Source organism: Homo sapiens, chromosome 10, assembly GCF_000001405.40.
Source record: "Homo sapiens chromosome 10, GRCh38.p14 Primary Assembly".
NCBI lineage: Eukaryota > Metazoa > Chordata > Mammalia > Primates > Hominidae > Homo > Homo sapiens.
The window spans coordinates 42,622,289-42,649,922 of record NC_000010.11 but is presented as its reverse complement, the minus strand read 5'-3'; the positions used below and the strand labels follow the sequence as shown (position 1 = coordinate 42,649,922).

General features: G+C 41.4%; 1 protein-coding gene and 1 long non-coding RNA gene across 17 annotated transcripts in view, besides 4 other annotated features; one reads left to right on the top strand and one right to left on the bottom strand.

Annotated features, from left to right (window-relative positions):
- Positions 1 to 4,380: 4,380 nt before the first annotated feature.
- Positions 4,381 to 11,618, bottom strand: LOC105378268 (uncharacterized). Of its 3 annotated transcripts, XR_007062125.1 has the most exons (3): positions 11,082 to 11,618; positions 10,660 to 10,701; positions 4,381 to 4,930 (listed from the first exon to the last, which is right to left on the bottom strand). It is a non-coding gene; the product is annotated as an uncharacterized LOC105378268 (long non-coding RNA). The 3 variants fall into 3 exon arrangements; XR_007062124.1 differs by lacking the exon at positions 10,660 to 10,701; XR_945898.3 differs by lacking the exon at positions 10,660 to 10,701 and having other exon boundaries at positions 11,370 to 11,618.
- Positions 8,048 to 8,342: a silencer, noted in NCBI's record as "tiled region #10386; K562 Repressive non-DNase unmatched - State 6:EnhF". NCBI's record gives its function as "represses a minimal TATA promoter and a strong SV40 promoter by Sharpr-MPRA in K562 cells {active_cell/tissue: K562}" and the evidence as "EXISTENCE:reporter gene assay evidence [ECO:0000049][PMID:27701403]".
- ZNF33B (zinc finger protein 33B) overlaps positions 11,353 to 27,634 on the top strand; it is a 64,402-nt gene continuing 48,120 nt past the window's right edge. For 5 of the 14 annotated variants that reach the window (NR_130948.2, XM_047425719.1, NM_006955.3 and 2 more), the window contains exons 1-4: positions 11,353 to 11,449; positions 12,951 to 13,003; positions 17,484 to 17,628; positions 17,899 to 17,994. Coding sequence is in view for 4 of the 14 variants with exons in the window: in XM_047425719.1 (XP_047281675.1) it covers positions 12,995 to 13,003; positions 17,484 to 17,628; positions 17,899 to 17,994 (250 nt within the window). In the remaining 10 variants the exon portion in view is untranslated. Of the gene's footprint in view, positions 11,450 to 12,950; positions 13,004 to 17,483; positions 17,634 to 17,898; positions 17,995 to 27,634 lie in introns of all 14 variants that reach the window. The other 9 variants (NR_130950.2, NR_130949.2, NM_001305037.2 and 6 more) reach the window with 4 other exon arrangements.
- Positions 11,434 to 11,603: a silencer, noted in NCBI's record as "silent region_2311". NCBI's record gives its function as "represses an Ori minimal core promoter by ATAC-STARR-seq in GM12878 lymphoblastoid cells {active_cell/tissue: GM12878}" and the evidence as "EXISTENCE:reporter gene assay evidence [ECO:0000049][PMID:35858748]".
- Positions 11,723 to 12,591: an enhancer, noted in NCBI's record as "H3K27ac hESC enhancer chr10:43132780-43133648 (GRCh37/hg19 assembly coordinates)". NCBI's record gives its function as "activates a minimal SCP1, AML or CMV promoter by ChIP-STARR-seq in naive H9 embryonic stem cells {active_cell/tissue: H9 hESC(naive)}" and the evidence as "EXISTENCE:reporter gene assay evidence [ECO:0000049][PMID:30033119]".
- Positions 11,794 to 12,063: an enhancer, noted in NCBI's record as "active region_3280". NCBI's record gives its function as "activates an Ori minimal core promoter by ATAC-STARR-seq in GM12878 lymphoblastoid cells {active_cell/tissue: GM12878}" and the evidence as "EXISTENCE:reporter gene assay evidence [ECO:0000049][PMID:35858748]".

Below are 27,634 nucleotides of genomic sequence, written 5' to 3'. Positions count from 1 at the left end.
GCTTGTTAGCATCTTTGGCTAACAAGGCAGTGGCGGCCAGCACCTTGAAACAGGGTGGCAATCCCATAGCCACCAAGTCTAGTTGCTTGGACAAATATGCTATAGGCTGATACTACGATGCTAGCATTGGCACTTAGACTCCTGTAGCCGTTTGTTTTCTTTCATGAACATACAGGTAAAAGGGCTTTGTCATGTCTGGCAGTCCTAGTGCTGGGGCCTGGATTGAAGCTTTCTTGATTTCCTTGAAAGCCATGTCCTGTTCTTTTCCCCAAAGGAGGGGCTCCTTTTCCCCTCCTTTGGTTGCCTCATATAAAGGCTTTGCTAGGAGCCAGTAGTCAGGAATCCATAATTGGCAAAAACCAGCTGCCCCTAGGAATTCCTGCACTTGCTGCCTTCTGTCTGGCTGAGGAATGCTACAGACAATCTCTTTTCGCTCCTGTCCAAGCTCACACCGTCCTTGGGAGAAGTAAAATCCAAGATACTGAACTCCTCAGCCACAGATCTGTGCCTTTTTCTTAGACACTTTATAGCCAGCTTCCCACAGCACTTGAAGGAGACTCTCTGTTCCTTGGATACATTATTTTCTTGTGGGTTTGGCTAACAGCAGATCATCTATATATTGCAGTAAGACAAGCGATCACTTGGTGGTGTGAAAGCCTTTAAGTCTGAGGCTAGTGCTTCTCCAAAGATAGTTGAGGAGTTTTTAAATCTTTGGGGAAGTCTAGTCCAGGTATACTGAGATGGGCCCCACTCAAAGGCAAAAATGTCTTGGCTTATAGGGGCTAATCAGATGCAGAAGAACACATCTTTAATGTCCAAGCATATGAACCAAAAATGTCTTGGCTTATAGGGGCTAATCAGATGCAGAAGAACACATCTTTAATGTCCAAGCATATGAACCAAGCAGCACTAGCAGGTATTTGTCCAAGCATAGTGTACAGGTTAGGCACAATAGCATGCAGTGTACTGGCTACCTTGTTGACTGTCCTTAAATCTTGTACAGGCTGGTAGTTGCCAGAAGGTTTTAACACCAGCAGTAGGGGAGTATTCCGTGAGGAGACACATCTCTCTATTATTCCAAATTCAGGGAGTCATTTTAAGTGTTTTGCAATCCCTTGGTGAGCCTCTATGGGAATGGGATACTGATGGATCCACACTGGGTAGATTCCTCGTAGTAGCTCTACTATGACAGGTGCTTGATTTACTGCTAACCCTGGGGGATTGTCCTCCACCCAGACTCCTGGTAACTTAGGGAGTAAGTCTGTGAACAGTTTTTCTTTCTCAGCTGTACTCCTTTCCACACTCCTGACAACTACTTTCATAAAGTCTCCACTCCTCTGCCTTGGGTACTGTAAGAGTTAGTACCATAGCCTTCTTTTGCCCTAGGCTCAAGGTATATCTGCATTCAGTGTGAAGGAGATTTGAGCCTGCAGCTTCTGCAACAAGTCTCTCCCAACAACGGCACTGGGCAGTTTGGCAAGTATAAGAACTTGTGTTGGACTTCTTGGTTTCCAATTATACCTCTCTTTGATGTGAAAAAAGGTGTTTTTTCTGTGATACCTGTGGCCCCAATAATATTAGCATAGAGTTTTGATAACACCCTAATTGTTTGAGTCACAGCTGAGTGTTCAGCACCTGTGTCTACCATAAGGTCTATTTTTCGGCCCCCTACTACCATTGAGACCATGGGCTCCTCAGGGCCTAATGAGATGTAGCCCAGTCTGTCTCAGTCTTCAAGGTAGTCACTGACTCCTGCCAGCCCAATTAGATCCACATCGCATCCTACTATGCCCTGCCCAGCAGCAGAAGGAGGCCTTGTCCAGCCATTCTGTCCCTGCTTGTAGCCTTTATTCTTTTCTTTCTCTGGACATTCATCTTTCCAATGCCCTCTTTGCTTGCATCTCGCACATTGATTTCTCTCTAGTCTAGGCCAACCTTCCTGACCTGTCCTGGTCTCCTGACCTGGCCTAGCCCTAGCTTGTCCTTTACCATGACTGCATCCACGACCATGTCCATGTCCTCTTGCAAATCCAGCCTCTCTTTCAATCAGGGCTGCAGCCAAGAACTCTGCCTTTTCCTTCACTCTATGCTTGGCCTCCCACTTTGCTTCTTCATCTTGATTTACAAACACTTTAGTTGCCACTTGGATAAGCTGGGAAATGTTCATAACTTCAAACCCCTCCAGCTTCTGCAACTTTCACTTAATGTCATTTTGTGCCTGACTCACAAATGCCGCATTAACCATGCACTGATTCCCTGCCACTTCTGGGTCAAAAGGTGTGTAGAGCCGGTAAGCCTCACAAAGCTTCTCATAGAACTCACTGGTACTTTCATCTGGTTTCTGATGGACCTCTGAAACCTTTCCAGTGTTTGTTGCCTTTTTCCCTCCAGCTTTTATTCCTTGTATCAGAGCCCCTTGGTATCTCAGCAAGTTCAGCAGCCCTTAGGCCTGATTTGGGTCCCAGCCTGGGTCAGTTTCTATTGGCAAAGCCTGCTGAGCATACTTTCTGACATCTCCTGTGCCTACTGGAGCATTGCTTTCTAGTCACTGATAAGCCACTTGTATTACTCTGCAGTGTTTTTCTGTATTGAACAGTGACAGAAGGAACTGCTTGCAGTCAGCCCAGGTTGGGTTGTGAGTTAAGAAGATGGACTGCATCAGGTCGATAAGAGCCTGGGGTTTTTCTGTATAGGAGGGAGTATGCTGTTTCCAGTTGAAAATATCTGTAGTAGAGAAGGGCTGATAAACATAAAGCCGTTCTCCTCCTTGAACCTCATTTTGTGCATCTAAATAGATCTGTCCCCTAGGTTCTCTGAATGGCATCTGCAAAGCTCGGGCGTGTCCTGACCGGAGATGGCCGTCATACTGGAGTTCCTCCTTTGAATTATCGGGCAGTGACCCTGGCTCTTCCCTATGTGGTGAAGTTTGAAGGGTACTCTCCTCTGAGTCTGACCCTCCACAGGCAGCTGCTGGAGTGACTTCCTGCCTAAGCCTTGCCAGAGGCGGATAAATTGGAACATAAGGGGATGGAGTCTCTAGCTCTTCTAGTGGGGCCTGTAGGACAGGTTTTTCCTGTTTTCCTTGCTGTTCTTTCTCCTGGGCCTACACTTTGTGGGTCTTTTCTATGGTTCCTTGTTTTGTACGAGCCACCAGAGTCTTACAATAATTTTCAAAACAGGCCTGTAGCCATTTCAGATGGGTTTGAATCACGCTCAGCTAGGAGTCTATGTATGGGAACTGATCAGGTTGTCCAGGCTGTTCTCCAACCCCAGTGACCACCCTAAATACTCGGCCAATTATTTCCCTATCTATGGTTCCCTTGGCCGCCCTCCCTATGTTGAAGGAGAGGCAGTCAATTTCACAAAGTGTTCTTAGCCTCTGCGGTGTTAACTTCATTCCATAATCACCATCAGAGCCTTTCTTAAAGTTCTTCAACATATGTTCTAATGGAGTTGGCTTCAATACTTTTCCTCCTATTGCCTCCCTCGTGGCACACTTTCACTCTCACTTTCACTCTTGGATGCACCAGACAGGGTCCTATTACAGGAGGTTTGGATGCTGCTTGGCCAGGTCACAGCCAACTACTGCTGTGAAGCTACCATGAAGTGAATCTTGTCGGTCTTATGCAGTGACCTAGGTCTGGCTTGTCCCACACTCACCTTGAGGGACACAGTCTGCACTAAGATCTGCAACTCCCCACATCACTCCCCGTGTTGGCTTCTCCGAGACCACCTCTTTCACACACTTTCACACACCTCCCCTGCCCCAGGACTCCTCATCGGATGAAACAAGCCTCTCTCATGTCCCGAGTGAGCTTAGTTAGGCTTCCACATTCACACACATACACAAACCACTCCTACCCCAGGACTGATCAGATGAAAGAAGCCTTCTTTATGTCCCGAGTAGGTTCACACACACCAAAACACTCCCAGTTTCTGTCTCCAGATCCAGTGAACCACTTTTGCTTGTGTGGGGACACGAGATTCATCCAAATTGGCAGGCCACTCCTGCTGCCCCCAGCCACTCTGGGTTGGATAAGTGATCGTTCCGGGGAAGGTAATCAAGCTCCCCTTCTGTCCTTATGGGATGGGCTTTTCCAGGGCCCAACCTTATGGCGGTTCAGTAGTCTGCCAGCGCACTGCTCCTGTGACTGTCCTGCAACTCCTGAGTCGGTTCCGTTTGCGCTGTCAGGGCGAGGCTCCAATACATGGGAGCCGTTCTCCTTCTGGGCTAAGTCTTCCCCAGTGGCACCAAAGTTCCCAAATCTCCCGCGTCCTGTGGCTTTAGCCCACAGGCAAAGGAGACAGAAACCTGCCATCTCCAATCCCAGACAGGCCCCCAGAAATGTTATGGGACAATCAGAGACGGGAGAGACTGAAGAGAGTTCAGGAAAGCCTTTATTAAGGGGATCACCTGGCTCAGTAGGACTAGCGTCCAGGAAAGTCTGAGCCCTGGAGAAAGAATGCAGCCACCTTTTAAGCAGTCAGTGGCCGGGAGCTATGTGATTCATGAAGTCTACTTACACAAGCGAGAACAAAGGCAGTTGATCAGTCTTTTACATTTATCTATACTACATGTTCCACATCCTTGGGAAACTATGTTTCTGTAACATATGCATATCAACCTTGTAACTTTGCAGCTGTGCTAGGGAGGTGCGCAGGAACTCACTGAGCCTCAAGGAATGTGAAACTGGTGAGAACAGATAAGGCTCACAACACAGAAAGAAAAACAGGCAGTTAGTATTCTTCTGTAACTTAGACTATGGGCAGGGGGTGCTACACTACACTTAGCTTTTGAAGGAAAAAGTAAAAATTTCTTGGTGGTCTTTGATTATACTTGTAAAATTCATGAATTCCTTCTTCAGTGGAGGTTGCAGTGAGTCGAGATCATGCCACTGTGCTCCAGCCTGGTGACAGAGCTAGACTCCGTCTAAAAAAAAAAAAAAGTATTTGTAACATTGGCATACAATTTACATACAAAATTTACTCCTTTAAAAGTGTGTAATTCAATAATTATAGTCACAAAGTTACACAACCATCACCACTATCTAATTCCAGAACATGTTGATCACCCTCCAGCTTCTTTTAGCTCTCCCAGAACTCTCCACATTGATCCCACTCTGGCTACTAGCACCAGCTGGACAGTAACGACTTTCAGAGGTGAACACAATGTGCTTCAACATGCCTTCCTGAAAGTTCAGTTAGCAACTGGACAGCATCTGAATTCCAGTTCTGCAAAGCTCTTCTCTGAATACCTGAGGTACCAGCATGATCCTGGCACTGCCCCTGCCTCCGCTGTCTTGTCTAATTCTAGCTCTCTGGGGCCACTCTTGTGAGTTTCTAGGTTCCGAGAACCTTAATCTTTTCCATTGTTTCCCAGCCCTAGACAGGTAGCTGCTACCTGATGTTGTCATCCTGTGTTAGCTCAGTGTTCATTTTTACCATTAAAACACCTGCTTTAAATAATCTTCATCAAATTCTCTCAGTTGTAATACTTGAGTGATCTCTCTGTTACCATTTGAACTCTGATTGATTTAAATATACTTGCACATATATCAACAATAATTTATTATTACAAAGTCATATAAGTGGAATTATAATATTATAAGTCCTTTAACGTTTAATTAAAATGCCAAGAACGTACATTGTGTAAAGGGCCACCTGTTCAATAAATTGTGCTGGGAAAACTGGATATCCATATGCAGAAGGACAAAACTTGATCCCTACCTGTCACCGTATACAAAAATCAACTCAAAATGGATTAAAGACTTAAACATAAGACCAAAACTGTAAACATACTAGAAGAAAACCTAGAGCAAACTCTTCAGGGCATTGGCCTAGGCAAAAGTTTTATGACTAAGACTTAGAAAGCACAGACAGGGCCAGGCATGGTGATGCACTCCTAGTACTTTGGGAGGCCAAGGTGGGTGGATCACAAGGTCAGGAGATTGAGGCCAACATGGTGAAAACCCATCTCTACTAAAAATACACACACACACACAAATTAGCTGGGTGTGGTGGTGCACACTTGTAATCCCAGCTACTTGGGAGGCTGAGGCAGGAGAATTGCTTGAACCCAGGAGGCAGAGATTGCAGTGAGCCAGGTTGAAGCCAATGCACTCCAGCCTGGCAACACAGTGAGACTCCATCTCAAAAAAAAAAAAAAAAAAAAAAAAAAAGCACAGACAGGCCAGGCATAGTGGTGTACACCTGTAATCCTAGCACTTTGGGAGGGTGAGGTGGGCAGATTCTTGAGCACAGGAGTTCGAGACCAGCCTGGGCAACATGGTGAATCCCCATCTCTACTACAAATACAGAATTTAGCCAGGCATGCTGGTGGGCACCTGTAATCCCAGCTGCTCGGGAGGCTGAGGCAGGAGGATCACTTGAGCCCAGGAGGTAGAGGCTACAGTGAGCTATAATCACACCACTGCACTCCAGCCTGTGCAACAGGGTGAGACTCTGTCTCAAAATAAACAAACAAACAAAAGCACAGACAACAACAACAAAAAGAAGTGGGACTGTATTAAACTAAAAAGCTGCACAGCAAAGGAAACAATTATGGAAGTGAAGAGACAACTTGTAGAATGGTAGGGAATACTTGCAAACTATTTATCCAAAAGGGACAAATATCCTGAATATACAAATAACTCAAACAACTCGATGGCAAAAACAAAAACAAAAGTAATCTGATTAAAATGCAGGCAAAGGATCTGAATAATTATTTCTTAAAAGAAGACATACAAATGGCTAACAAATGTATGAAAAATGTCCAGCATCACTAATCATCAGGGAAATGCCAATCAAAATCACAATGAGGCATCATCTCACCCTAGTTAGAATGTCTATTATAAGAAAAATAAATAAGTGCTGGTAAGGATGCATAGAAAAGGGAACTCTTAGACACTGTTGGTGGGAATGTAAATTGGTACAACCACTATATAAAACAGTGTGGAGGTTTCTTAAAAAATAAAACGGAACTACCATACAATCCAACAATCACACTGCTGGGCACATATCCAAAGGAAGGGAAATCCATATATCAAAGGGATACCTGCACTCCTGTGTTTATAGCAACACTATTCACAATAGCCAAAATATAATATCAACCTAAACGTCCACCAACACATCAATGGAAAAAGAAAATCTGGTATATAAACACAGTGGAATATTACTCTGCTATAAAAATGAAATCCTGTCATTTGCCACAACATGGATAGGCCTGGATGTCATTAAGTGAAATAAGTCAGACACAGAAAGATAATTACTGCACATTTTCACTTATATTTGGGAGCTAAAAAAATTGGGGCTCATAGAAGTAGTGAGTAGAATTATGGGCATTAGAGGGTGAGGGGGTAGTGGGGAGGGCAGGATGGGGAAAGGTTGGTATATGAATACAAAATTACAGCTAGATAGAAGAAATGAGCTCTGGTGTTCCACAGCCCTGTAGGATAAATATAATTGACTGTAATTTATTGTGTATTTTCAAAAAGCTAGAAGAGAGGATTTTGAATGCTTACAACACACACACAAATGTCTGAGGTGAGGGATATGCTAATTAACCTGATTTGATCATTATACATTTTATACACATGTCAAAATATCAGTCTATATCCCCTAAATATGCACAATTATTAGGTGTCAACGAAATGTAAAAGGGAAAAAGGTACAAAAACCGAAGAAGAAATGAGAGGAAAAAATGAGCCTCCAGAGTTAATCAAATTCACCGTAAAAATGAATAGCTGTGGCCAGGTGTGGTGGCTCAGGCCTGTAATCTCAGCACTTTGGGAGGCCGAGACTGGTGGATCACCTGAGGTCGGGAGTTCGAGACCAGCCTGAACAACATGGAGAAACCCCGTCTTTAGGAAAAATACAAAAAATTAGCCAGGCACGGTAGCACATGCCTGTAATCCCAGCTACTTGAGAGACTCACTTGAACCCGGGAGGCAGAGGTTTCAGTGAGCCAAGATCATGCCATTGCACTGCAGCCTGGGCAACAAGAGCAAAACTCTGTCTCTGTCTCAAAAAAAAAAAAAAAAAAAAAAAAAAATAGAATAGCTGTGATGGTTAATGGTTAATTTTATGTGTAAACTTGACTTGGTCACAGGGTGTCTGGATTAAACATTACTTATGGGTGCATCTGTGAGGGTGTGTACAGATGAGATTAGCATTTGAATCAGTAGACTCAGTAAAGCAGATTGCCCTCCGTATGTGTATGGACATCATTCAATCCCCTAAGGGCCTGGATAGAACACAAGGCAGAGAGGAGGAATTCACCCATATTTTCTGCCTCATTGTTGAGTTGGGACATTTCATCTTATCCTTTCCTGTCCTTGCACTGGGATTTACACCATTGGCTTCCGTGGTTCTCAAGCCTTTGGACTCATACCAGAATTACACCACCAGCATTCTTGGATTTCCAGCTTGCAAATGACAGATTGTTGGACTTCTTAGCCTCCATAGACATGTGAACCAATTTCTCATCATCAATGTCTCTTTCTCCCTTACTCCCTCCTATTGGTTCTGTTTCTCTGGAGAATCCTGATTAATACACTGGGAATAAACATTTCCCCAAGCCCATACCATAGGTGTATATTAGTGTTTTTTACAATCTTTTCAAATCTTAAACTTAAAAATATTTTATTTATTTACAATTTCTCCCAATTGGAAACAACTTGCATATCCCTGGACTGGGGAATGGACAAGGAAGCTGGTAAATCCATACCAAGAAATAGGAGTCAGCAATGTCAGAGTTGACAAATTACTCTTCAGAAAGCTTTAGTTCCCTGTTGTTTGTTGCTCAAGACCAACTTCCTTGTACTTCCTTGTCTCCAAGCTACCTGTTCTGTAAACAACCTTCCCGCCTTTGCCATGCCCAGACAAGTCCGGATATGCCTTCCCGCTTAGTAATGGACAGTCCCCCTTCCTTCCCGCCTAATAGACCCTGTCAATTTTAAACCTTAGCCAATCGAGTTAGCTTTGATTGTGAGGTCTAATCCCAGCCAATGGGGAAGGGACACAGAAGTGCTAGGAACTGCATCAGGGATAAAAACCCCTGCCCTGCCCTTCTCGGTGTTCTCTTGTGATCATGACTGGCATAACCTGCACCCTTCTGCAGAAGTAAATTTCTCTTGCTGAGGAATTTTCTGCCTTTGTGCTGGTTTTCTCTGCGGCACCAGGCACTTGTTTCTAACAGCAAGAAAAACAGAAGTATTGGTACACAAAACAACACGGAAGGATCTCAATTGCATTGTGTTAAGTAAAAGATACCAGATTCAAAGACTGCATATTGTATGATTCCATTTATATAATATTCTAAAAAAGGCAAACATACAGGCCCAAAGACTAGATAGTGGCTGCAAGAGGCTAAGAGTGGTTAGAGAATCTGACTTTCAAAAGGTAGCATGGAGGAATTTTATTGACAGGTGAAATAATTTTGTATCTTGCTTGTGGTGGTGGTTACACAAATCTGTGCGTTTGTCAAAACTCATAAAATTATGCAACAAATAAAGTGAACTTTTCAGTATATAAAGCATAAATTTAAAAATGTAAATTTCAATATGTTTCACATATTTTTACTCAAATATTTGCATTTCCTTTTTTCTTTTTTTCTTTTTTGAGATGCAGTCTCACTCTGTCACCAGGCTGGAGTGTAGTAGTGCGATCTTGGCTCACTGCAACCTCCACCTCCCGGGTTCAAGCGATTCTCCTGCCTCAGCCTCCTGACTAGCTGGGACTACAGGTGCGCACCACCACGTCCAGCTAATTTTTGTATTTTTAGTACAGAAGGGGTTTCACCATTTTGGGCAGGATGTTCTCAATGTCTTGACCTCATGATCTGCCCGCCTCAGCCTCCCAAAATGCTGGGACTACAGGCGTGAGCTGCCATGCCCGGCCATATTTGCATTTCTTTCAATTCTCATAATGGACTTAAAAAGTTTTGCTGGAATGGAGCTGCTTATTTTTCTCTATTATAAAATGTAACTGATATTAAATTTATAGTTTCTGTCTTTGGTATCACATCCCTTTTTGGTTTTTTTTGAGACAAAGTCTCACTTTGTCACCCAGGCTGGAGTGCAGTGGTGCCATGATGGCTTACTGCAACCTGGGGCTCAAGTGATCGTCCAACCTCAGCCTCCTGAGTAGCTGGGATCACAGGCGCCTGCCTACATGCCCAGCTAATTGTTATTTTTAATTTTTTGTAGAGACAGGGGTCCCACTATAACGCCCAGGCTGGTCTTGGACTCTAAGGATCAAGTGGTCCTCCTGCCTCCACCTCCCAAACTGCTGGGATTACAGGTGTGGGCCACTGTGCCTGGCCCACATGTCAATTTTCAAAAATTTATACTCGTTTAAATGTTTCAATACTGTATACATGTGAATTTTATCACGTGTGATCTATATATATCTCTATATTCCAAATTGTTAGGAATGACATGCTCTTTGGAATACTCCATTCTTTCCCTCACTGTTTTGAAATGCTGTATTTACTACACATTAAAGAATACTCTCAATCATGGTGTCTTATTTCCATGGAGCAGGTGCCAAACTACTTTGAATAGAGCAATATTATATATATAGATAGATATAGATATTTCTCAGGCATTTTTTCAAGCTTTTTAAAACGTATAATGGCTGTTCATTTAGTTTTTTACTTACTCTGGATAAAGTTGACAATGCTTTTGTAAAGTACACAATACACTAAAGATCAAAGAGAAAAAATACATAAAAAAATTTGTTGATATTCTTTTAGGAATTTTGTCTTCCTAAGAAAGGTACAGATAGACTAAATGTATTTCCATTTAGTCAAGCAATTTTAATGTCACAGGGGAAATCATGTGACATTTATTTTCTTCTTTCGGATTATGTCTATTTTCTGACTTTTCAATTTCCGTTTATTGCGTTAACGATTTTGATGAAGTAGCTTTCCTGTGGCACCTCCCCCATCCCCCCCATCCCTGCTCTCAAAGAATCGCTGATAGTGTCAAAGTCTTTTAAACTGTATCAATAAGATCTACTTCCTAACATTTAAAGTGAAACTGACACACAGCTGTCCTTTCCTTGAGGCGTCTGTGTCTAACCTGCACACTTGCTGCACACAGACCTCCCCTGCAGTGCATCCCTTTGGGTCGCCCCGGGAGAGCCAGGGCTGCGGGCAGTTCCCACACCAACTCAGACCGCATCTGTCCACTGCCTAGCGGGGCACCTCTCTGCCAATCCCGAAGGGCTGCTCTCGCGTCCTCACGGGAAAGGTAGTTTCCAGGTTGGGCGCCAACAGCGCCAGGCTTTGAGCGTGGGCTCTGCGCATGCCTCATCCACTGGCTACCTCTGCGTTTCTGCGTTTCCGCCTTTCCTTTTGTTTGTCTCACGTTTTGCGTGGGAGGCGGTCCCGGGATTTCAGGGGTCTACCGGCTCTCTTATGGCGAATGCAACCCGAAGAGAGAGTGAGGTAAGCCTCCGCGGGTTGGGCAGGGACGGAGAGGGGGCCCCGCGCGACTCCAGGAGCAGGCAGCCGGGGGCCAGTGCCAGGTGGTGGCGAGGAGTCCCGGGGACCTCACGGAGAAGCCGGGGACGGCGGGGCTGCAGCATGTCTACCAGGACGCTACGCCAGTTCCTCTAAGGCGCAGCCTCTGTAGGGAGCGGGCTACGCCCTGTGCGTTGCCCTGTTTGTAGGGGCCGCGGAGGAGGGCATGTGCGCTTGCGCGGTCCGAGCGCTGAGCCTTGCGGGAGGGGCAGTTCTCTGGTTGAGCGTGTTTACGCCCATGTGCTAGGGCGCGGCCCTACCTGGGTAGGAAAGGGCGGGTGCAGTCGCCCGCCCGACATACGGACTCTGTTGCCCGTTCTGCGTTCATCCTCTTTAGGTTTCGAACTGCCCTCCAGTCATGTCCATCACCCCATCTTGTTATTTGCTGTTCCTCTGTCCTAACTTGATCTTGCACTCAGGAAGGATCTTCAAGAATTACATAATTTTGGCCTAGCGCGGTGGCTCTCTCCTGTAATCCTGCACTTTGGGAGGCCGAGGAGGGTGGATCACCTGAGGTCAGGAATTCGAGACCAGCCTGACCAACATGGCAAATCCCCGTCTCTACTAAAAATACTAAAAGTAGCCATGCGTGGTGGCCTATGACTGTAATCCCAGCTACTGAGGCAGAGAAATGCTTGAACCCGGGAGGCGGAGGTTGCAGGTAGCTGAGATTGCACCATTGCACTCCAGACTGGGCAACAAGAACGAAACTCCGTCTCAAAAACAAACAAACAAACAAAAAACCAGAATTACCTAATTTTGCCTCATTTGTTAGAAGAAAAAATAATTTTTTTGTTTTTTGTTTGTCAAGGTTACTGACTTGTTCAGGATCAAAGTTTGTTAGTAGGGAGAACTAAAAGTCACTTCTCCTGACCCCTAAGCCAGTACTACTTTTCTACACACATCAAAGCAAGTTTAAAACATCCTTTTGAGAAATAGCAACAAAGTTAGATGAAGAAATTAAAACGGATTTTTTCTTTGAAGCACTGACGCTTATGGTTTTCTGTGGACTAACTCATCAGAGGTTAAGTAACATTACTGGGAAAATCGATAGCCTAGTCCTATTCTTTACAATGGTTTTAGTGTTAATGTTTTTTCATTAAATGTATTGTTAACTTGTTTGGCCAATATTGTCATTATACATTTTTTGTGAAGACTGAGGGAGATTGAAATCCTTAGGAAGCAAATATTTACTTTCACCTGATGAAAAATCTTGTGCCCAAGAGCTACATGGTTATGTTGGAGTTGTATTAGGGTGTTCTTTCACCATTTCTACCCCCTATTCCGAAGTGTCAGAGGACATTGATATTCTCCCAGACGGAGCATTTTACCTAGTGGGTGTGTATGGCTTCTTAGGGCAGAAGAATCCGGGAGTTGCCAGGCAGGCCAAATCTTTCATGACCCCATTCCTCTTTTTCCAACTCAGCTGTATCTTCAGAGTTGTCTCCGTCTTTCCAAGAACAGAACAAAATGAACAAGGTAAGTTGTTTATTAATTCCCTACTTTATTTTGCGGTGGACTTTGTGAGATTTGTAAGAGTCAGTATGGTTTTTTTGTTTTGTTTTGTTTGTGACATGGAGTCTCGCTCTGTCGCCCAGGCTGGAGCGCAGTGTCTCCATCTCTGTTCACTGCAACCTTGCAACCTCTGCCTCCTGGGTTCAAGCAATTCACCTGCCTCAGCCTCCCGATTGGCTGGGACTACAGGCGCAGGCCGCCACGCCTGGCTAATTTTTTGCATTTTAATAGAGATGTGTTCACCGTGTTGCCCTGGCTGGTCGCAAACTCCTGAGCTCAGGCAATCCGCCCGCCTCGGCCTCCCAAAGTGTTGGGATTACAAGTGTGAGCCACCGTGCCTGGCCAAGAGTCAATATGTTAAGATGAGAAATTAGTAATAGATAAAAATTGAACTTCCCAGAAAATATAAAGTAACAGATCAATAGCAGGGCCAAGTTAGAGTCAATAAGTTGAGCTTCATGTGTTTCTTATGTTTCCAACAACCATGGCAGAAAGGAAGACACTGGATATGGATACAGACAAACTGACTCCTCTGAAGACACAAAGACTTCCTGGCAGATACCTTTTTTGGTTATAACATAGGGACCCATAGTGAATAACCTTCCAGTGTTAGCCCTGAAATGAGTGCAGCCTATTGAGTCAAACTGCTTTTTTAATTTTTATTTTATACAGGTTCCAATTTTCTTTTGGATGTACTGTTTGATCAGTAAGTTAAAATGTATTTTAATTTTAAATTTTTTATTTTTTTATTTTTTTGAGACAGAGTCTCGCTCTGTTGCCTGGCTGGAGTACAGTGGCACGATCTTGGCTCACTGAAACTTCTGCCTCCTGGGTTCAAGCAATTCTCTTGCCTCAGCCTCCCGAGTAGCTGGGACTACAGGCGTGCACCACCATACCTGGCTAATTTTTGTAGATTTAGTAGAGACGGGGTTTCACCATGTTGGCCAGGATGATCTCGATATCTTGACGTCGTGATCTGCCCTCCTCGGCCTCCCAAAGTGCTGGGATTACAGGCGTGAGCCACTGTGCCCGGCCAATAAATTAAAGTGTATTTTAATTTTTTTTTTTTTTTTTGGATACAGAGTCTTGCTCTGTCGCCAGGCTGTAGCACAGTGATGCAATCTCGGCTCACTGCAACCTCCGATTCCCTGGTTCAAGTGATTCTCCTGCCTCAGCCTCCCAAGTAGCTGGAATTATAGGCATGCGCCACCATGCCCAGCTAATTTTTGTATTTTTAGTAGAGACAGGGTTTCACCATGTTGGCCAGGCTGGTCTCAGTCTCCTGACTTCATGATCTGCCTGCCTCGGCCTCCCAAAGTGCTGGGATTACATATTTTAATTTTTAATGAATCTTATTTCTACATGTGTAGCAGATAGATGGAAAAACCCCTACATTTTAAATATAGAACTTAATGAATTATTACAAATCCATGGCGCAAATAATGAATACATACGTCAAAAAAAACATTGCCAGCCCTCCTGCAGCTGCCGTCTTGTCCCCCTCACAATCCTGACACCTCCCTGCTCATTCACTCATTTACATTTAATCTGTGGCTTCAGTGGCAGAGTTGACTAATTGTGACAGGAACCTTTTGGCCTGCAAAGCCCCAAATATAATGATGTCTGATTTTTTTTTTTTTTTTTGGAGAATGTCTCACTCTGTCACTCAGGCTAGAGTGCAGTGGTGCGATCTTGGCTCACTGCAGCCTCTGCCTTCAGGGCTCCAGGGATTCTCCTGGCTAAGCCTCCCCAGTAGCTGAAATTACAGGCACATGCCATCACACCTGGCTAATTTTGTATTTTAATAGAGATGGGGTTTCACTTGGCCAGGCTGGTCTCAAACTCCTGGCCTCAAGTGATTCGCCTGCCTTGGCTTCCCAAAATGCTGGGATTACAGGTGTGAGCCACCATGCCTGGCTAAATATTTAATGTCTGATTTTTTACAGAAAAAGTTTACCAATCCCTAGATTAGTTTATTAAGTTTATTTGTTGATGGTGTGTGCTATTTTAGATGACTTTACCTACTTTGAGGTCATGAAGATAATCTCTTTTGTTATCTTTTAAAATATTTATTGTTTTGGCATTCACATTTACCTCTCTTTCATTGGAATGGGTGTCTACTTTTGTATGAGGTGGATGTCAGATTCCTGTTTTTCATACAGTTAGTGTAGAATTATTTTTGAAAACACCATCCTTTCCCCAGTTTTACATTGTGATATTTTCATCAATTATGTGTACATATATGTCTGTGTGTTTTTTTGGACTGTGTTCTGTTGGTTGGTTGTGCCAGTACCTCACTTGGTGAAACATCTTAGTGTCTAGTAGTGGGTTTAACACATTTTTTCTTCAGCAAATCCTGGCTCTTCCTAGTTCCTTGCATTTCCATACAAATATTGTTAGTATTCTTAAAATAACTTGCTGAGACTTTCTTTGGGGTTGAATTGAACCTATATATAAATTTGGGAGGAATTTCTTACCTTTTTTTTTGAGACAGAGTTGCCCAGGCTGCAGTGCAGTGGTGCGATCTTAGCTCACTGCAACCTCCACCTCCTGGGTTCGAGTGATTCTCCTGTCTCAGCCTCTCCAGCAACTGGGATTACAGGCACCTGCCCCCACGCCTGGCTAATTTTTTTGTATTTTTAGTAGAGACAGGGCTTCTCCATGTTGGCCAGGCTAGTCTTGAACTCCTGACCTCAAGTGAGCTGCCTGCCTTTACCTCCCAAAGTACTAGGATTACAGATGTGAGCCACTGTGCTTAGCCTCTGATTCCATTCTTGATTATTTTCTTTCCCCAGTTTTCTGACATCCTTCTGATTTTCTCTTGATGGCTTTGAGCACCACTGTATTATAAATGTCTCTGTAGTCCTTGTTTCATTCTTGATCTTCATATTATGCTTCATTTTTTTTTTTTTTGAGATGGAGTTTTGCTCTTGTTACCCAGGCTGGAGTGCAGTGGTGCCGACCTCGGCTGACTGCAATGTCTGCCTCCCAGGTTAAAGGGATTCTCCTGTCTCAGCCTCCTGAGTAGCTGGGATTACAGGTGCCTGCCACCACGCCTGGCTAATTTTTTGTATTTTTAGTAGAGATGAGGTTTCACCATTTTGGTCAGGCTGGTCTCGAACTCCTGTCCTCAGGTGATCCACCCGCCTCGGCCTCCCAAAGTGCTGAGATTACAGGCGTGAGGCACTGCACCCAGCCTGTGCTTCAAATTTAATATATTTAGGACATTTCTTGCTAGAATACCGTGTCCAACCTATTTTGCCCTAACTTTCCTGGTTTACATTGTGGCCCTAGTATCTGAGCAGCTGTTCATGGGGATAGCCAGAGGAAACATTTTTTTTCTTAATGAATTAGTGACCACATTTTGATGCTCTGTCTCCTATTATTCATGCCCTATTTGCATCCTGGTTTCTTCTACAGTAGTTTATGTAAATGTTGTTTTGTCCTTTGCTGTTCTCAATAGAATTGGTTCTGTAAACAAAACCTGGTCACATAATTGCAGTATATGCTCACATCTCATCTTTGGCTCTCCCTTTTTCACAGCAGTGATCCCTAAAAGATGTGCCCTAGAGGATATCCAGAACAATCCAACTGGATGTCTTCTCCTATGTACTCCACAGAGGTTTCAAGTATAATAGTTCCAAGATCTTTCCATTTTCTACACATCCCTATTATTGTCTTTGAATTAAAGGATTAGAACCCAGAATATGTACTGCGATGAAGAAAATGTCAGGCTTTCTACATTTTTAAATCTAAATGAGAATTAAATTAGAATTCATAATAAATGTACTGACAATTTATTTCTGTGATTTGTAAATATAAATCTGTAGTTCTCAGTAATATTCTTGAAAATGGTAAATGATCAAATACTTTAGAGACCATTGGTGTAAAATTACTCTGTAACCCATTTCCTTGGCTTTTCTTCTCAAGACAGCAGCAGGCCATTTCCTGTGCTGTCTGCCCTTTTGTTGATGTCTGCAGTGTGTTGGAGGCCCTCACCTTTGCTTGTATCATGGCCCCGTGCTTATGAAGGACGTAATAGAGTGTTCTTCATAATTCAACCAACAGCTATACTTCCTCAGTGAAACTCAAAGCAGAGCTAACTTTGCTCCTAACGTTAGTCTGTTGGGTTTGTACTTTCACCTTAGTACTTGCAACATGTTACCATGTATATTTTCTTACCACTCTGTGTGTTCTTTGAACACAGGAAGATTTTTATTAATCTTAGTGTTGCCAGGAGTGATGATAGTTCCAGGTACATTGTGGGAACTTGATAATTTTTTTGCATGAATTAATATCTTAATGCATTAATGGCAGAATATTTCTGTTATGATTTCTTTTTTCCCTAAAAGTATAAAGCAAAACAAATATTCTGTGAATAATAATCATGGTAAGGATTAGCCCATACTTCTTTTTTCATGCCACCTAATTCTGAACATTTCAGGTAGATCAGAAGTTCCAGGGGTCAGTATCATTTAAAGATGTGACTGTGGGCTTCACCCAGGAGGAGTGGCAGCACCTGGACCCTAGTCAGAGGGCTCTGTATAGAGATGTGATGCTGGAGAACTACAGCAACCTTGTCTCAGTGGGTAAGGTCTGTTCACTGTATCATTCTAAATAGCATTCGTTTATTTTGATTATAAAACATATAGGCAGTCTGTCTAGTTTAATGACATTATTTAGGCTTAGGTTAGGCTTCAGGAGTCAGTGTTGATTGAGCACCAGAAGATACTTGTGTTCACCTCTCCAGTGAAAATGTTCCACTGGCAACTTGAAGCAGCCCCAGAAGCTTCTTCCTGCTTCAAAGGCCTGAAGTCTAGACTGCTTGGTCCAAATCCTAAATTATTTCCTGTTAACAGGGTATTGTGCTCACAAACCAGAGGTGATCTTCAGGCTGGAACAAGGAGAAGAACCATGGAGACTGGAGGAAGAATTCCCAAGCCAGAGCTTTCCAGGTGGGTTAATATGTACTGCACAGATTCACATCAGGGGATTTGTTGTTTCCCAGTAGTTAATTCAGGGTTTGGCAACTTTGGAACATTTTTCAAGAACATCTCCATAGGGGTCCTAACCTCTGGAAGTGATGGAGAATACTGATTGCTAAATCAAACCTCCAGATACTACTCACAAAAAATTTTTCCTTTTAGAATCATTTTTTGAAGGTTTACCATTCTTACACCTGCCAATAGTTCAGTCTTTGCCCACCTCAACTTTACTGTTGTTTTTCTTGGTTATTTTTCTCAAAGCACTTTCAGTGTCCCACCTTAACCTCCATTGTTTTGTGTTTATTCTTCTGTCAGAATTTTTTATTCACTCATTTTTAAACTCAGCAAATAATTTTTGAGCACTTGGTGTGTGCTGAGGATATGATAATGAAAAAAATTAGGCCAGGCATGGTAGCTCACACCTGTAATCCCAGCACAGGTCGAGGTGAGCAGATCACTTGAGGTCAGGAGTTTGAGAACAGCCTAGCCAACATGGTGAAACTCCATCTGTACTAAAAATACAAAATTAGCTGGGCGTGGTGGCAGGTGCCTGTAATCCCAGCTACTTGGGAGGCTGAGGCAGGAGAATCACTTGAACCCAGAAGGCAGAGGTTGCAGTGAGCTGAGATTGCACCACTGCACTCTAGCCTGGGCGACAGAGCGAGACTCTGTCTCAAAAATAAGTAAATAAATATAAAAAAAAAACAAAATTATGTCTCTAAGTATATTATGTATACTTATGTTTATGTATATTAAGTGTTCTGTGGTTTTAAAGACTATGAAAGAAATTAAAGCAAGTTTAGATTACTTTAAGGAACAGTCAGGGGAAACCTTACTGAGGTCAACATTAGAGTAGAAATTTGAATGAAATGACTGTGTGAGCCATGAGGATTCTGCCTCTTTTCAGCAGGGGTAATAGCAGCTGCTAGCCTTGGACAGGAATGTGCTTGGTGGTTTTCAGGAATGACCAAAAAGTCACAGTGGCTGAAGGGAGGGCTTGATTGGAGGAAGGGCAGGAGGTGAGGTGAGGGAGGCAGCTAGAGTCCAAAGGTGAGCCTATCATAAGCCTTATTTGGTTAAAATCTGTTTAGTGGTAGATTTTCAGCAGATGAGCAACATCTGATTTATATCTCTGTAAGATCTTTCTCACCTCTGTAGAGAAAATATTGGGCAGGGCATAGGGCATAGAGAGCTCATTAAAGTCCTGTGGTAGTTTTCCTTATGAGTGATTGTGGTAGCTTAGACAAAGCCGGAAGGCAGGAGGGAATGGGATGAGGTTTGATTCTTTCAGTATTTGGAAAGTGGGGCAATAACAAAAGAACTAACATTTGTAACATCAGAAGGAAGTGAAGGAGGTGTTTAAAGTATATGAAGAAGTAATGGCTGGTCCTTCTCAAATTTAGCAAAAGATATAAAACTGCACATTCCCGAGTCTGAAGTAACATCCAATAAGTTAAGTCCATGGCAAACTCACACTATAATTAAATTTTTGAAAACTAAAGACAAAAAAAATTTCAAAGTAGCCAGAGAGAAACAACACATTCCCTGCAGGGAATGACTGTGGGTTTCTCTTCTGAAACTGTGGTGGCAGGCAGGAAGTAGTATATTTTCTCAAGTACTGAGGGGAAAGCACTATTAAATAAAAATTCTGTATCTTTTGAAACTATATTCATGAATAAAGGGGAACTAAAGGCATTATTAGATAGGGAAGCTAAGAGAAAATGTTGCTAGCAAACCTACCTTTAAAAATTGACTAAAAGTTCTCTAAATAGAAAGGAAATAACAAGAAGGCTTGGGATGCAGGAAAGAAAGAAGATTGGAGGTTGGCAAAAATGGGGATAAATATATTTTTCTCGTGAGTTTCTAGAATCATTTTTGATGGTTGGAGCAAAATGCTCTGTATGTAGGGGAAACACTTAAGACAATTATATTTTAAAAGTGGGGAGGGTAAAGGGGCCTAAGTGGAATGAAACTTGGTACATTTCACTTGAAGTGGTAAAATGCTTGATAGACTGTGATAACTTACATATGTACATTTTAATACCTAGAACAACTACTGAGAAAACTATAAAATGTGGTACACTTAGAAACACTATAAATAAACCCAGATGGAATCTAAAATAATATTTAGGTAACTAATCAGAAAATAAGAAAAAAGGAACAGATGAATAGAAAACAGAAAAGAAAACAAATAGCAGCCTAACAGAGCAATATTTACCTTAAATGTAAATAATCAAAGTACACTAATTAAAATATAAATTGGCAGAGTGGAAAAAACATAAAACATGATCTAAAATTTTTAATTTTTGTGAGTACATAGTAGGTGTATTTATTTTTGGGGTACAGGAGATGTTTTGATACAGGCACACAACGTGTAATAATCACATTAGGGTAAATTGGGTATCTATTCCCTCAAGTATTTATCTTTTGTGTTATAAACAATCCAGTTACACTCTTTTAGTCACTTTAAAATGTACAATTAAATTATTTTTGACTGTAGTCACCCTGTTGGGCTAGCAAATATTAGGTCTTATTCATTCTTTCTAACTATTTTTTTGTACCCTTTAACCATCCTCACCTTCCCCCAACCCCACCCCACCACCTTTCCCAGCCTCTAGTTACTGTCCTTTTACTTTCTACCTCATCTCCATGAGTTCAGTTGTTTTAATTTTTACCTTTCACAAATAAGTGAGAACATGCAAAATTTTAACATTCTGTGCCTCCATTTCTGTCTAGGTTGTTGCATATGACAGGATCTCTCATTCTTTTTTATGGGTGAATGGTACTCCATTGTGTATATGTACCACATTTTCTTTATCTATTTATCTGTGAATGGACACTTCAGTTGATTCCAAATCTTAGCTCTTGTGAACAGTGCTGCAGTAAACATGGGAGCAGAGATATCTCATTGATGTTCTGATTTCTTTTCTTTTGGGTATATATCTAGGAGTGGGATTGCTGGATTATATGATAGCTCTACTTTTAGTTTTTTCAGGAACTTCCAAACTGTTCTCTTTCAGCCATATGAAGTGAAAACCATGCTCTGTAAGTGCTCACCTGACTTTTGGTTCCTGTGAAACTGCTTATTTTGTGTAGATAGTTGCCAATGTTAGTCTTCCTGCGGGGGAGTGTGTATGATCGGTGGCGTTCTCTATTCCACCATCTTGCTCCACCCATCCTAAAAATGTTTTCTTAGGAAACTCATAGTGAACAACATAGGTTGATAAAGTATATAAAAAGATAAACTGTACAAACATTAATCAAAAACAAAATACAGTAGACTCTAGAGCAAAGAGCAAAGAAAACTATTAGACAAAAAGAACATTATATAATGATAAAAGGATCAATCCAACAAAAATGCAATGATCCTAAATGTGTCTCTAGCAAACCTCAAAGTACACAAAACAAAACTGATTGAGTTGAAAAGAGAAAAGCACATTTTAATTGTAGTTGGAAAATTCATCACTTCCCTCTTAGCAATTGATAGAATTACTAGCCATATGATTACTAGCAGATATAGAAGAACAGGACAGCAACATCAGCCAACAGGACTGAAGCATCATTATAGAATAGTGCTCAACAAGGCCAGGTGCGGTGTCTCACGCCTGTAATTCCAGCACTTTGAGAAGCCGAGGCGGGCAGATTGCTTGAGGTCAGGAGTTCAAGAGTAGCCTGGATAATATGGTGAAATCCTGTCTCTACTAAAAATACAAAAATTAGCCAGGCATGGTGGCGCATGCCTGTAGTCCCACCTACTTAGGAAACTGAGGCAGGAGAATCTCTTGAACTGGGAGGCAAAGGTTCCAGTGAGCCAAGATTGTGCTACTACACTGTAACTTGGGTTACAGAGTGAGATTCTGTCTCAAAAAAAAGGAAAAAGAATAGTGCCCAACAACAGCAAAATACAATTTTTTTCTCAAGTGTCCATGGAATATTCAGAAAGATAGACCATATCCTGGGCCATAAATAAGCCTTGGCAGATTTAAAAGAATTGAAATCATTCTGAGTATGTATGTTTTCTGGCCATAATGAAACCAAACTACAAATCAGTAATAGAATGACAATAGGGAAATATATAATAATTTAGAAATTAAACATCAGACTTCTAAATAACATCTGGAGTGAAGAAGGGGCCTCAAATTTAATAGTAGAAATGCATAGACTTAATGAAAATGAGACCATACCATATCAATATATGTGGGAGGTAGCTAAAGCAGTGCTGATAGAGAAATTTATAGTGCCAAATGCTAACATTAGAGAAGATGATAGGTTGCAAACCCATAATTGACTTTCTACCTTAAGAAACTAGCAAAGAGCAAAATAAAACCTCTGTTAAGTAGAAGGAAGAAAATAACACTGGAAGCAGAAATCAGTAAAATTGAAAATAGGAAAAAGTAGAGAAAACTAATGAAACATAGGGTTCTGTGGAAAAGAATAAAATTGGTAAACATCTAGCAATATTGATTAAAAATATAAAATGAGATGACAAATCATCAATATCTGGAATGAAACAGGGAATATCACTCCACCATCCATTTAACAGTATAATAAGGGAATCTTGTCAACAACTTTATGTTCATAAATATGACAACATAGGCCAGGTGTGGTGGCTCATGCCTGTTATCCCAGGGCTTTGGGAGGCCAAGGCAGGCGGATCACCTGAGGTCAAGAGTTTGCAACCACCCTGGCCAACATGGTGAAACTCCGTCTCTTCTAAAAATACAAAAATTAGCCTGGTGTGGTGGTGCACGCCTGTAATCCCAGCTACTCAGGAGGCTGAGGCAGGAGAATGGCTTGAACCCAGGGAGTGGGAGGTTGCAGTGAGCTGAGATTGCACCATTGCATTCTAGCCTGGGCAACAGAGCAAAACTCTGTCTCCAAAAAAAAAAAGAAAAATGACAACATAGAAGAAATGTAGCAGTTTTTCAGAAACCAAAAACTATTACAACTCAATTAGGGTGATATAGATAATTTGAATGACCCATAGGTTTTCATAAAAGTTGACTTAATTTGAATCAAATACTTTAAATTTTAAATAAAAAACCTCCAAAAAACCAATTTCTGTGTACTAGAGAGTTGTTCTCACTAGAGAATTCTACCAAACATTTACACAAGAATTAATGATGATTTTACACAATGTCCTCAAAAAATAGAAGCAGGAACATTTCTTTATTTTATTTATTTATTTATTTATTTATTTATTTATTTATTTAGATGGAGTCTTGTTTTGTCACCCAGGCTGGAGTGCAGTGGTGCAATCTCGGCTCACTGCAACCTCTGCCTCCCAGGTTCAAGTGATTATCCTGCTTCAGCTTCCTGAGTAGCTGTGACTACAGGCGCATGCGACCATGCTCGGCTAATTTTTGTATTTTTAGTAAAGACGGTGTTTCACCTTATTGGCCAGGCTGGTTTCAAACTCCTGACCTTGTGGTCCGCCCACCTCAGCCTCCCGAAGTGCTGGGATTACAGGCATGAGCCACTGCGCCTGGCCAAGAGGGAACATTTCTTAACACATTTAAAAAATTATTTTGATGTCAAAACCATACAGACAGTACAAAAATAATAAAACTACAGACCTATACTCCCCATACATTTAGTAGCAAAAATCTTTACCAAAACACTAGCAAATAGAAAATAGTCATGTAAAAAGTATACACTATAAACAAGTGGGATTTACTTGAGTTATACAAGCAAGCCTGGTTCAACATTCAGAAATCAATCAATGTAATTAACCCACCATAGGCTAAAGAAGAAAAATGATATAACATCAGTTAATATAGAGAAAGCATTTGACAAAATGCAGTATGCATCCATGATAAAAAATCTCTATACAAGACATTAAGAGGATCTTCCTCAGTTTGATAAATGAACATGCACAAAATATCTATAGCAGATATATTTGCTGGTAAGATGAAATGTTTTCTCTGTAAAACTGGGAACAAGGCAAGGATGTTTGCTCTCACCACTCTTATTCATTGTAGTACTGTAACTTCTTTCAAGCACAATGAGGCAAGAAAATGAAAGAGAAGGCATACACATAGAGAAGAAATAAAACTGTTTACATTTACACATGACATGACTGTATATGTAGAATATTACAAGGAATCTTAGAAAATAAAAACCTCAGGCCAGGCCTGGTGGCTCATGCCTATAATCCCAGTACTTTGGGAGGCCGTGGCGAGTGGATCACCTGAGGTCAGGAGTTTAAGAGCAGCCTGACCAATATGGAGAAACCCCATCTCTACTAAAAATACAAAATTAGCTGGGTGTGGTGGCGCATGCCAGTAATCCCAGCTACTTGGGAGGCAGGAGAATTGCTTGAACCCAGGAGGCGGAGATTGTGATGAGCCGAGCTCACACCATTGCACGCCAGCCTGGGCAACAAGAGTGAAACTCCGTCTCAAAAACAAAAAAAAAGAAAAGAAAACAAAATGAAAACCTCCCAGAATGAATGAATGATTTCCAAAAAGTTTCAGGATCCAAGATGAACACATATAATCAATTTCTTTCCACTAACAATGAACATATACAAATCTAAATTAAAAACATAATACCACTTATTCCATAGAAAATTAAATACTTTGTTATAAATTGAACAAAATATGTATAGGACCTTTGTGCTGAAAATTACAAAATTCTGATGAAAGAAATAAAAGAACACTGAAATAAATGAAGATACGTGGTCTCTTGATAGATTGGGAAACTCAACTTTGTAAGTAGGCCAGTTCTCTCCAAATTGACCTACAGTTTAATGGCATTCCTGTCAAGATTCCAGTAAGGTTTTTCTCAGCTTTAAATAAGCTTATTCCAAAATTTCCATAAATGGTCAAAGGAACCATATATATATATATATATATATAAAATATGAAACAATTTTGAGAAATTTTTTCTCAGAAGTTTTGAGAAAAAGAATAGTAGGAGGAATTATTGTATCCAGTGTTAAGGCTTATTACATTAGTCTCCCCTTTTCTGTGGTTTTGCTTTCTGCAGTTTCTGTTACCTGAGGTCAACTGTGGTTCAAAAATATTAAATAGGAAACTTCAGAAATAAGTAATGCCTAAGTTTTAAATTGCACACTGTTGTGAGTAGCATGATGAAATTTTGCACTGTCCTGTTCCAGGACATGAATCAACCCTGTGTCCAGCATACCCAGGCTGTATATGCTACCCATGAGTTAATTACTTAGTAATTGTCTTGATTATTTACTGTCACTATATGTGTCCAAGTAACCCTTATTTTACTTAATAATGGCCCTAAAGTGCAAGAGTAGCGATGCCAGCATATTGTTATAACTTTTCTATTTTATGATGTTGTTAATCTCTCCCTGTCCCTAAGTTATAAATTAAACTTTATCTTAGGTTTGTATATTTAGGAAAAAACAGTATTTATAGGGCTCAATACTATCTGAGGCTTCAGGCTTCCACTGGGCGTCTTGGAATGTATCGCCCTTGGATAAGGAGTGACTACTGTATGTATATATTAATAGCTATAATAATCAAGAGGACAGGATGTTGGTTGAATATACACATTGATAGAACATACACATAGAACAATGGAAAAGAATAGAAAACTTCAACATTGATTATGCTGTTATAGACTGTATGTTCATGTCTCCCCAAAATTCATATGTTGGAGCCCTCAACCCTAGTGTGGTGGTGTTTGGAGATGTGGAGCCCTTGGGAGGTAATTAGGGTTAGATTAGGTCATGAGGGTGGGGCCCTCACGATGAGGTTAGTGCCTTACAGGAAGAGGAAGTGAGAGCTTCCTCACTCTCCATGTGCGTAGAGGAAAGGCGATGTGAACATGCAGTGGCCAACTGCAAGCTGGGAAGAGGCCCTCACCAGGCCCTGGCCATGCTGGCATCCTGATCTCAGACTTCCAGCATTTGGAACCGTGAGGAAATAAACTTCTGTTGTTTAAGCCATACTGTCTGGTATTTTGTTATGGCAGCTGAAGCTAAGACATTTGACAAACTGTTGACAAAAATGCAAAAGAAATTCAGTCAGGTATTCAGCAAATGATGCTGGAGCATTTTGACAATATATTGTTTTGTGTGTAGTAAAATATATATAACATGAAATTTGCCATTTTAACAGTTTTTAAGTGTACAGTCTAGTGGCATTACACTCACAATGTTGTATAGCCATAACCACAATTTCTAAAACATTTGCATTATTTCAAACAGAAACTGTATTGCCATTAAGCAGTAACTACTCATTCCCCCCTCCCAACAGCCTATGGTAACCTCTTATCTAGTTTGTCTCTGTGAGTTTTGAATGTTGTGAATATTTCATGTCAGTAGTGTGACAACATTTGGCCTTTTGTGTCTGCCTTATTTCACTTAGCATGATGCTTTCAGCTTTCATCTGTATTGTAACAAGTATCAAGACTTTCTTTTCTGGCTGTTTAATCCATTCATCTGTTGATGTACACTTGGGTCGTACACCTTTTGGCTGTTGTGAATAATGCTTCAGTGAACACTGGTATATCATTATCTGCTCAAAGTTCCTGTTTTCATTTCTTTTGGATATAAACCTAGGAGTAGAATTGTTTTATCAAAGTGTATTTCTTTTAGCTTTTTGGGGTACCACTGAATTATTTTTAATGTGTATATATACACAGATATTTGTTTTTGAGACAGAGTCTCACCGTCACCCAGGCCAGAGTGCAGTGGCACGATCTCGGCTCACCACAGCCTCTGCCTCCTGTGTTCAAGTGATTCTCCTGCCTCAGCTTCCCGAGTAGCTGGGACTACAGGCGCATGCCACAGTGCCCAGCTAATTTTTGTGGCTTTAGTAGAGACGGGGTTTCACCATGTTGGCCAGGCTTGTCTTGAACTCCTGACCTCAGGTGATCACCCACCTTGACCTCCCAAAGTGCTGGGATTACAGGCGTGAGCCACCGCACCCGGCCGTACCTACTCTTTCTTTTGTTGCTTATCCATTTTATGTCATAGTTAAGAATCCATCACCAAACCCAAAGTTTTCCTTATGTTTTCTTCTGAACATTTCTTCTAAACATTTTATTGTTTTAGCTCTTATTTTCAGTTCATTTTTGTGTATAGTCAAAGTAGGGATCTAACTTTATTTTCTAACTTTATTTTCATGTGGAAATCCAGTTAACCCAGCATCATTTTTTTGGTCATTTGTCATCATTTCAAACAGAAACTCTATCACCATTAAGCAGTAACTACTCATTCCCATTCCCACCAGCCTGTGGTAACCTCTAATCTATTTTGTCTGTGAGTATGACTGTTGTATCTCATGTCAGTAGCGTGACAATATTTGGCCTGCATTAACTGAAAGAAAAGGCTTTTCTTTCTCCCAGTGAATAGAATTGACGCCCTTGTCAAAAATCAGTTGACCATAGGCAGTGTATTTTTGGGCTCTCACTTGTATTCCGTTTGTCTGTATGTCTACACCTATGACATGACCCACTGTTTGGATTATTGTAGCTTTCTAATAAGTTGTGAAATTGGACGTTTTGAGTCCTCTGACTTTGTTCTTCTTTTTAAAAATTGTTTTCGCTATTCAGGGCCCTTATAATTCCACGTGACTTTAAGGATCAGCTTTTTATTTTGGTAAAAATGCTGATGGAATTTTGATAGGGA